This window comes from Homo sapiens, chromosome 14, assembly GCF_000001405.40.
Source record: "Homo sapiens chromosome 14, GRCh38.p14 Primary Assembly".
NCBI classification, from domain to species: Eukaryota; Metazoa; Chordata; class Mammalia; order Primates; family Hominidae; genus Homo; species Homo sapiens.
This window is the reverse complement of record NC_000014.9, coordinates 33,793,582-33,804,471: the sequence shown is the minus strand read 5'-3', so window position 1 is coordinate 33,804,471 and position 10,890 is coordinate 33,793,582. Positions and strand designations below refer to the sequence as shown.

Genomic DNA, 10,890 nt, shown 5'->3' with positions numbered 1-10,890 from the left:
CAGCTTTGATAATGTGCATAATAATGCTCAGTATGACAATGAATTGGGGTAGCTGAAAATTTAGGATGGTTGCAAGTTTGGTGTAGTATTTGGATTAGCATCTTATTATGTGCCTTGTCAGCCTCATCAGTACACAAGCTATATATTTTTTCCAAAACTAGCAAAAATATGAATGCATTTTTTTTACTTTTTCTTTTTTTTTTAAATAAAGAATAATGACCAAGGTACCTGCTTAAACAAATACTACCAGCATTCATTAGTCAGGATGGTTACATGTAAAAGAAATGATGCCAGATAGTAACAAATCCAAGAGAAGTTTATTATGAAAATGGCACCTGCGGATGAAAAAATTAAGTTACATAAAGACAACCATGTATGTGACATGTATGAGAATCTACAAAAGTATAAAAAGAACCCTGTTGTAAATGAAGTATGTACATTTCTGATTTGCAGCATTATCAATGGTCAATGAAAAAAAATGTTTCAAAATAAGCCAGGCACTCAGGAAGTTAGGTCCGGTTAGCTTCACACAAAACAAATGTACCATAGCTGTCGCTTTGTAACGTTTTAATTATTTTTTTATATATATATCGTAGAGTTGGTAACACTGCTAAGATTTTTACGAACAGAATATCCCTTTCCCCATTATTCAGCTACTTGGCACCAGTCTCCTCATAAAAGTTTTCATATATTTGTACAAGAAATAGTTAAAAACACAGACACAGTCTTCACAGGTAATGAAGTGTTTTTTTTTTTTTTTTCATTTTGTAATTTTCAACACTATGAATTTAGACAGCAGCTGTGATTATCTGTTAGTTTAAATCACCAGAAATCATTTTGACACAACACAGAAACATTTATAAAAGAAAAAAAACAGCTGTCTAGCTGTTCTTTGTAGCTGATAGGTGCATTCCTTTGATTGTTCGATAGCTAGAGTAGAGCTTCCAAAATTAATCTGTAAATTTCTCCATCGGCCTTCTTCACCTCCTAAACCTACTTAAATCCTTCAAGTAAGCTCACTATTAAAATTTGTGGCATTTAACTTCTTTTTGTTATTATTCCACCACGGTTTGGGCCCAACTCATGAAATCAAAGGTCCTAGAGGAATCTACTCAACACAGTGATATTCAAAGGACAGCCGAGTTACTATATTAGCATTGCACAAGTAAACAAATATATATGACAATTCTAGATTCCATTATCCCCTCCCATTTTGTTTCTTAAAAATGTTGGTTGACCTTTGAAAGAATTTTCTGTCTCACTGGTAATTGCTTTATATATTGCTCCATCAGCCAACCTGAAAGGAAACCAAAGAAAAGCACCCACTGCTTATAGGTAGAGCACAAGGGACTCTGGGAATGTTAACAACTGAGGCTATATGGCATCAATTTATTTAATATATCTGAGCATTATTCTTCAGTGCTTTGTGTTGCACTCCAGAAGACAGAGTCATACCCAGAATTCCGTTGTGGGAAAAATGGCTCCATTAACCTTGAGCTAGTTAAGAGTCTTTTTATCTCTGAGAATGAAAGAGATTTTGGGGATGGGGAAGGAATGAAGAGGAGGGAGAGGGGGAGATGGGAAAGGGAGGGAAAGAGAGGAGAGGTAGGGAGAATATACACCAGCAAAGCAACAGCAGGAATTTTAAAAGGTAAAACGGAAGATTCACAGACAGTAGAAGCAGCATAGGGTGACATTACAGAGGAAGGCCACCACACAAAACCCACTAACCCCCAAGAATCACTGATTCACTAGGACTGCAGGAATGGGACTGTACCACTCCGGACTAGAGATAGAGCACAGATAAGACAAAGGACAAAACAACTACATTAGCTTAGTATATACTGCATATAGAAACACACATTGAAACTGCAATGGGACTGACAGCCAAGGACACATACACATTGTACACATTACAGTTCTCACATCTGTTATTAGATGCCTTAACAAACAGCTGCCAAAAATGAAGTGGAAGAAGAATTTATACTTGACAGTCATTTGGAGTGTTTGACACCACACTGATTTCTGGCAACAAAGACAAAATAGGATTTTTTTTCTTTTTCTTTTTCTTTTTTTTTTCTTTTTTTTTTTTTTTACTTAATGTGCAGTTTTCAGTTGCAGTTATCTGTCTGAAGCTTATTAACCCATTCTTTAGTTTTAAAACTTATTGGTTTCAACCCAGAAATAAGAACCAAAGGGAAAGAAATTCCATCAAATCAAACCAGTCCCCCCAAATACAACCTTCCTTTTTGTTTTAAGCAAGAAATGAAAAAAACCAAAAACATGTTAAATATTTTCCTTCTTTTACTCCGAAGTGTTATTGAAGTTGCAAAATTAGCCTCAGTTAGACTGAGTAAGGAAAACAAAAAGCTAAACAAAAGGCAGTATGTACCTAAACTGCTCCTCAAATCAGTTTGATTGAGTTTTCCAGCAGCCCCTTTAAAAGGGGCTTTACTGACCCATTAAATTTAATGTGAGGCTATGTTTGTTAGTTGGGAGGTAAAAAATTTTAAGTCCTGCAGCAAACGTTAATGAGGGCTTTGTCTTAACTAACCAAGGAGACTGCAGCAACGGACTCCAGACCAGGACAGAACACATTTTTTTTTTTTCCCCCAAAACCCAGCCCAGGAGCTGCATTTTGTATGAAGACATTACAGATTAATAAATGATAGCACCATGGTTTTAGAAATTAAGTTAATGTTTCAGTAATTAACATTTAGTCCGACTTTTTTTTTTTTAAACATTCTAGTCACAGGCCAGAAATTAAGTTTAAGAACCCAAATTATTTTTATGTGCAAGTAAGAAAATCTTAAAATCTTAACCGTAAAAAGAGAATTAAATTCTGCATAAAATTCTAAAATACTATTCCCCCTATTTTTTAAAGGAATTAGGAACAGAAACAAAAACCACCCTATTTCATTTGACTTAGTCAAACAGGGCACATTGTTTATGCTTGTCTCTTTCCATCTTGATCATATCAAGATCTTTATGAAGAAACCCCAATGGTTGTCACTTGAGAACTCTCTTGACCACAAGACTGAGTATTCTATGGCAGAGGCATATACACATGAAAGACATCTTAATAAAGATGCAAAGGAAAGCAAAACAACCCAACACACACCTTAGAAGAAGACAAAACGGCAGGCAACTGGTCGTCTGACCCTCTGAAGGCAAAAAATAAACATATCTTTACACGAAAGAATAAGTCAGGTGAAAGAAAGAGGGGGTGGAATGGGGACCGTCGTGGCGAGAGAAGACGCTGACCTGCTCGAATTCAAAGTGCTAGAATTAAAGGTCTAAACGAAAATGCCGACGATGCCTCCTCCAAGCGGGGCCTGGCCGGGCCCAGGACGGGCGGCGCCTCAGTCCTCCTTGCGCTCCAGAGTCTGTGCCGCGTGGATGCCGTTGCTGTAGACGGGGAAGGGCAGCGTGGAGAAGAGTCCCTCGGCCGTGGTGAACACGTTGCCGGCGGGCATCTGCGTCAGGCTAGCTGCGCTCACTGCGCCGCCGAACGGTCCTGACATGTTGAGCCGGTGCACGTGGTGGTAGAGCATCTCCATGGGCGTCTTGGGGTCGAGGCCAAAGCCGGGGCTGTTAACGTCCACGAAGTTAACAGCGTGCGCGTTGGGCAGCAGGTTGCTCTGCATGGCCAGGGTCACCTCGGCGGGCGCGTAGCGGATGGTGCCCGTGGTGTAGACCCTCTGCGCGGCCGTGCTGGTGGCGGCCAGGGTCCCGGTCACCCTGTGCACCAGCGGGAGCACGACGTTGCCCGCCTGCAACCTCTGCAGCGCCTCCAGGTCCCCAGTGTACAGCAAGGAGTTGGACGCGCTGGGGCCGCCGCCCCCCGCGCCGCCGCCCCCGCCCCCGCCCCCGCCGCCGTTCCCGGGGTGCTTGTCCCGCGGGGACGCCGAGAGCGGGGGTGACAGCGGGTCGGAGGCGACGGGGGCCAGGGCCGCGGTGGCCGAGGCGCCGAACTGAGTCTTGCGGGCGGCCGCGCCGTCGGCGCCGGGCGGGGTGAGGACCGAGTCGGGAATGGCCACGTGCAGCCCCCCGCCACCGCCACCCCCACCGCCGCCGCCCTGCGGGGACGGGAAGTGCTCAGAGCTGGGGGGCTTGGTCATGCTGTAGGGGGACTCGTTCCTGGAGATCTCCCGGTTGGGCGGGTAGTTCCAGATGCTGCTGTCATTGTCGAAATTGATGGGTTCTGAGATCTCCGTCTTGATCTTGAGCACCGAGGCACTGTTGGGGGAGGACAGCAGCCGCGGGGGCTCCACCAGGCCCGCGTCCAGGCCGCCTGGGCTCGACGCGCTGGACAGGCGCCGGCGGCTGGCGCTGCCGCCCTTTTGCCGTTTCCGCCTTTTCTTGCGCTTCTGGTGCTTGCTGGAGGCCTGCGCGCCCGCCTCGCCTGCGCTGTCCGAGTCCTTGGCGCTGTCGGACGTGAGTGACTCGCAGTTCTGCAGCCGCAGGTCCGACTCGCTCTCCACGTAGCGCTCCACCTTGATCTGCATCGCGCCCAGAGCACCGAAGCCGTCCTCGCCCGCCTTGGGGTTCTCAAAGTCCGAGTGCTCGAAGCTGTCGTCGCTGTCGCGGCTGTCCGGGTTACTGGAGCTGTGGCCGTCGTCGTTGCAGTTCATGTCGTTGTCACACGCGTTGCCCGACTTCTTCCGGTCGGGCTCCGGGTCTTCGCTGTTCTCGGACTGGTTCCCCTTCTCGTCGGACTTGGAGTTCTCGTTGTCCTCTGTGTGGGGCGGGGGGCCGGCGGTGGCGGGGGCGGAGAGAGAAGAGAGAGAAGACACCAGGTTAGCGGGGCGACCCAGCCTGTCACCTGCAGGGGCTGGGGCGGGGAGCAGGGCAAGTGTCCGTCCTCATCACGGGCTTCTCCATCACCTTCAGAGGACTTAAGACCTGGGCTTTCTCTCTGCTGAGGGCCTGGGTTAGCTGGATGGTTACTCAAAGTGCGGGCCAGCAGCATTGGCAATCATCTGGACACCCGCTGCAAATGCAGACTCTCTGCTCCCACCCAGGTAGACTGAATCAGATTCTGCGTTGGAATATGACCCCCAGGTGATTCTCAGGCACATTCAAGTTTAAGAAGTCCCACAAAGATACTCAGGAAGTCAGGTTAAATAACCTGGATTAAGGTGTGACACAGAAAAATGATGGCATGCAAGGTGACTTTCTAAAGAGTCTGCATTTTCCCTTGGTGAATATTTGTTCATTACTGAGAGCCACTCTCCTTTCTATTCCATAAGTTATTCTCCCCCACAGCACTTACCACCATCTGATTCACTGTATATCTTTATTTTTATTATTTATTATTATTATTTTTGGCAGGGTCTCCCTCTGTCCCTCAGGCTGGAGTGCAGCAGGGTGGTCACTGCTCACTGCAACCTTGCCCTCCCCGGCTCAAACGATCCTTCTGCCTCAGCCTCCCGAGTGGCTAAGACCAGAGGTGCCCACCACCACACGTGGCTGATTTTTTTTTTTTTTTTTTGTAGAGACAGGGTCTTGCCACGTTGCCCAGGCTGCTCTCAAACTCCTGGACTCAAGCAATGCGCCCACCTCAGCCTCCCAAAGTGCTGGGATTACAGGCATGAGCCACCCTGCCACCTCACTGTATATTTTAGTTTTATTTACTTGTCTCTTCTTCCCACTAGTATATAAGCTCAATGGGCTAGGAATTTTCCTTTGTTTTGTTCACAACTATGCACTGTATTAAAAAGGGGCAGAGACTACCAATTCTAGAACTTTTTATGTCTTTGTCAAGAACTTTCAAATTAATGCAATTTAGGGAGAGGAGGACAATGAAGATCTGCCTTGAGTGCTCTGCCCTCCTTCCGCCTCCCTGAAGCTGGGTCTGGAGGAAGGGATACATGTTTACAATGCTGGAGCACAGGTGCCCTCAAGAAGGGGGTTGTCAGGAAAACCTAGCTGCCACATTTTTGAAAGAACAGATTTTTCCAGTAACACAGCGTCTGAACATGGAGGGAAGAAGCCTGACTGGCAGCCTGGACTAGAAGTTGTGGTCATTGCCTCCCCTTCTGTAGCAGAAGAGGTAGGGTTAAAAGAGGTGTAGGATTTTCTTGCAGCTGTAAAAATCCTACAAGTTTAGTGCTCCCTGGCCTTATGTGTGTCTCTGGAAGAGGGCTGGGGATGGGATGAAAAGCAAATTTTTATACTAATTTTCAGTGTCCCAAAGAACTACTCAGGAAGTCCGCTTCCCCAAAGGAAATGAAAATGCATGCGTTTGTTCTGCATAGATTCAGGAAATAAGTAACAGTCCAGCACCCTGAAAGAGGCATTGATCGATGCCATTAAGTACCCTACTTTAGAGGCTCAGTCCCAGCTTGGTGGGAATGTGAATATTTGGGGCTCAAAGTCACAGACTCTCTTGGAGCTGGCCCTAGTACCTGCCTTTAGTAGAGGCCGAGAGCTAGCTATGAGGTTAGAGCAGGGCTCCTTCTGTATGGCCAGTGGATTGACATTAAGTGATTGCTAATAGCAATCAATCTCTTTCTGTATATTTAAAGAAAGAGATCTGTCAGATCTCAAAAGATCTCTTTGTTCTGTGAGTATATATACACACAAAAACATATATATATATATATGTATATATATACACACACACAGATGTATTTATCCAGCACTACATATCTATATGTATTGTGTGTATATATACCTATATAGTACATACAGGTATGTAGTGGTGTACAATTATATATATGTGTGTCTGGAGAGAGGCAGACACTCAGTAATAACTTGATGTGACATATGTCTCTCTGAAATGTGACCAGTTGCTTTGCCTCTGATGATGGCCCTCTGGCTGTTGCCCACCCCCTGCGCGTGGTGGGCAAGCTTCACTGAAGAACATGGAAAAGAAGGAATAATACCTGTAATACCTGAGGTGTCTTTAGAGTCTGACTCAGAGTCGGATGTCTCCGAGGATTCGGAAGTTTTCTCCGGCAGATGGGGGAGCTGTGCGATGTCCATGGGTGTGTCCTTGTACTCAGGATTGCTGTGGAAGGGAGGCACTGGTCAGGAGTGCAGACACCCATTCTGCATGGTTTGTTTGGACCATCTTCTCCCCCACTTCTTTGTCCCAGACTTCTGGAGTTTAGAAAGTTTCAAAGACTAAACATGAAATCATTTCTCAGCTCTTCATGGGATTTTATGGAAGCTTGGCTTGCATGTGCCAAGGCACAGGTGCACCCTGCTGCAATGATCGAATACCCAAATCCCTGAAAGCCATGGAGAGAAGCTTTTAAATAATCAGGTACCACTGGGGGTCAGGAAACTGTGCTGCTTGACAGTACACCTGGGGGAAGGGAGGATGAGAAGTACTCTCAACAATTCATTCCCATGTCTCCTGGTGTGTCGTGTCTTCTCTTGGGCTCCTAATGAGTCCATGGCCTCAGTACCTTTGTTTTGGGCCCTTGATGTAGCTTCTCAGCCGCTCAGATGGCTCCCACGCTATTGGTGGGGCAGCAGAGCCTTTGGTGCCTATCTGACAGATGCACAGGTGCACCTTGGGATGCATGGATTATGGCTACCAAACTGTCAACACACCCATTACAATCACATTTTCATCTGCTCGTGTGGTGTACACCTGTGGCTTGTTAGCTGGAAATCTGATTGCAGTGGGGAGAGTCCCAGTGTGAAAGAGGCCCTAACAGAAGGGATCTAACCTCACTTGCACAAATGTGCTTAATTTTTGTTCTATTTTTAGTTTGGAAACAAGGCTCTTTTGGAAGAGAGAGCATGTTGAGTCAGTTTGACCTGTCTTCTGGAAATGCCACTCCAAGGCCACCTGATGGATGAGGAGAGTAGGCTCCTGTAATCTGAAGGCACAAGGAAATCCTCCTGCTTCAAAATGGGAAATGCCTCTTCGATTTTTCCATGATGGCTAGCCAAGCAGAGACTTAAAATTGATGATTACTGACTCATTTGCTAATCTCTAGCGAAATTCCTATAGTAAAGAGTCACTGTTTCAGTAACTACTCTAAAACTGCAAATGTTCCTGGGAGGGGTAATTCACTAAAATGGATTATCAGGCATTTACTCCTTCGTGTGAATTAGCTTCAGCAGCAAAGCTTTCTCTAGATAATCAGATGAGACTAATGGTGGGAAGGTGGACTCTGTCTCTGAATACTCTGAGTCTATAATTCTGTTAAGTATCACGAGGGAATGGGAAGAAGACTGGAGGAGCAGTAGTTTCAGAACAGGGAAGGACAAGCCTGGATTGGGGCCTGGGTGCAAGGGTTCTGGGCAGGAAGAAGTGATGTGAAAGTATTGCTCAGGGAAGAATAATAGACAAGAATGTGGGAAAGAAAACCAAACTTCTGTAGTTGCTATATTGCCAGGGCCACATCATTTTCTTACTAGATCTTTACCCTATAGAGGTGATACCAGTAAATGGCTGTCTTGGTGGAGTTTCCCCTGCTAAAGCCCATCTACCTTAGTCTTCTTTGGGGGCTCACAGATCACTTGCCCTACAATTTACAGTCCTTTATCATTGACTTCAGGGAGTGTTTTTAGGTCAGCTAAAACAGGTCTTCTATGCCTGAGATTGAAGCTTTTGAGGTTGAAGACTGGTCTTTGATACCTAAACTTCCTTCCTATCCATATGGGATTTGATGGAATAGAATCACCAAAGCTCATGAGTTTGTACCATCGGATCCTAGGCTAGATCAATGGTATTCAGAGACTGATTGCTTAGCTCTTCTTACTCCTTGCATTTGTGGGCAGAGGAGGAAGTCATGAGGCTGATGAGGCAGTAAGAAAGATCCAGATAGGAAGAAATCTCAGAGAATGGGAGTAACAACTACATAGATGACTTCAGTATCTATGTTTCATCAACATGGGAGCCAGACACTGCTAGCCCTAGGGTGCCTGTTTCCAGCGTTTAATTCTTACTGGTGATGGGTCTCCTTGTCACAATATCATTTTGCCTAGCAAAAGAATGTCAGTGCCACAAGACCTTATTCCATTTTCTGTCTGGCATGTGAGTTTTTATAACCACCTGCATTCCCTATAGTAATTATTCCATAAAACTCTATGTACAAGGATTCCTTGATATCAGAACTCATCTTGAACACATCACAAACACGGGGGAGACTTTGCACGGAAATCAGGCCTTGGAGAAAGCCACACTCAATACACATACTTTTACCTTTAGAGAGAATTAATGTAGAGCAGAAGAGGTCAAAAAAAAGGAAATAGAAAGTAGATAAATGAAGACTCTTTTAAGTGGTGCACATTAAGGCCCTCTCTAGAGCAATAATCATTAGTGTCTGATTGATATGCTGTTGGTAGCAAGCACATTCATGCCTTCAAGTCATCACCAAAGTATGTGAACACACTCTGAAGGGCCAGTGTGCTGATGAGCCATGGTTGTTAGCTTCCCAGCTCCACTTGGCTGTCTCAAAGAAAAATGGGATTCAGGTACTCCCTGTCTAAATTATCAGCCAAAGGGCACCAACTTCCATTCCCAAGACCTATTGGAAATTTTCCTACTCAGACCACGTGTGGGCTCTGCTTGGTGGCTTTAGGCCAGGAGAAGCCAAAGACCAGAATGATGGGGGTGGGAGGGAGCCAGGCCAAGTGCAGGATTGGTGGAGAACTTCCCAGAAAGCCTGCCCCCAAACTCAAGATGGCCCAATCTGTGGGTCTTGGTTACTTTTCTGCTAGTTTGAATCCAAAGGCAGAATGTAGACTGGGAAGGGGAGAGAAATGGTGTCTCACACCAGAATTTAGGAAGCAGTTGAGCTTGGGCTCACTTGCAGATAGACTGTTAAGGACACATTTTAAGAGCAGTAAAGCTTGCCAAAGATCACAAAGCAGTGGGCCAAAAAAAAAAAAAAATTGCCTTCATTTTTTACACCGCTATTGTTTGATTCCGGCAAAGCAACTCACTTTGTTTACCGAAACTTTAATGCCCAGGAAGTCAAACCCTATGTAATATGCTAAGGGCATCAAAGGGAAGAAATATAAGAGGAATATAATGTTCCCTGCCACTTTTCTCCCGCTCTGTTTTACTTCATTTCCACAAGAACTGGAGTGTGTGAGTGTGTGTGTGCTGGGGAAGAGGAGATGCTTTTTGAATGCTTCAGCTGTAGGCTGAAGTCTGTATTATTCTGGCCTAAGCATTTGTGGGAAAACCAAAGCAACTTCTGCAGAGATGCCCAAATGTTGACAGACCAAGAATGATTGAAAATCTTGAAATCTTTCCTGCAAGTCCCTTCCAACATAGTTTGATCTTCTCACATTTATTTGAATCTTGTGGAAAGAACAGCAGAATTGCCATGAAATTCCACACCAGGTACTGTCAAAAGATAATATTCACAACATGTCGGCTATTAACCATAGCCATATTTTATATGGCATATTTTATAACCAGGACAGAAATAGAAAAGAAGTAGAAAATATACCTAAGAAGGTAATTCACCCAGATGATATTCTTTTCATTTGCATTCTTGGCATTAATAGCTATGGTGGCACTGGACTGTATCCAAATATATCCTCCGTTCTTCTGCATCCAGCGATAGTACTTTGTCACACACTGACCCTTATTCAGCACTGGCGAAAAAAAACAAAACAGAGGCATTGTATTAAGACTGGGATCAAATAACTTTTTTTTTTTTTTTATCTCTGCAAAACCTTAAGCCTAAAAATGGGAGGACCTACACCAAGCCAGGGTGACCCTCTGTATGCTTAATATAGAATGCCATTAGTAGGACAAATGAAATCAATTCAGTGGAGCGGCAGCTCTGGAGCCAGGGTTACTGGCATTTGTAGCAAGACTTTATTCCGTTTTGGGCAGCCATGGTGTGAAAAGAATAAAAGGACTACAAATCTCTTTGGCTCACAGAACACCTAATGCGGTGTGGATAT

The 10,890-nt window shown here is 45.0% G+C and overlaps 1 protein-coding gene across 19 annotated transcripts in view; it reads right to left on the bottom strand.

The window, feature by feature from the left end:
* NPAS3 (neuronal PAS domain protein 3) overlaps positions 299 to 10,890 on the bottom strand; it is an 869,389-nt gene continuing 858,797 nt past the window's right edge. For 14 of the 19 annotated variants that reach the window (XM_017021582.2, XM_047431678.1, XM_005267991.4 and 11 more), the window contains 3 exons: positions 10,428 to 10,575; positions 6,891 to 7,015; positions 299 to 4,738 (listed from right to left, as the gene is read on the bottom strand). In XM_017021582.2, the coding sequence (XP_016877071.1) occupies positions 3,363 to 4,738; positions 6,891 to 7,015; positions 10,428 to 10,575 (1,649 nt within the window). In that variant the 3' untranslated portion in view covers positions 299 to 3,362. The remainder of the gene's footprint in view (positions 4,739 to 6,890; positions 7,016 to 10,427; positions 10,576 to 10,890) is intronic. The other 5 variants (XM_017021583.2, XM_011537069.3, XM_011537071.3 and 2 more) reach the window with 1 other exon arrangement.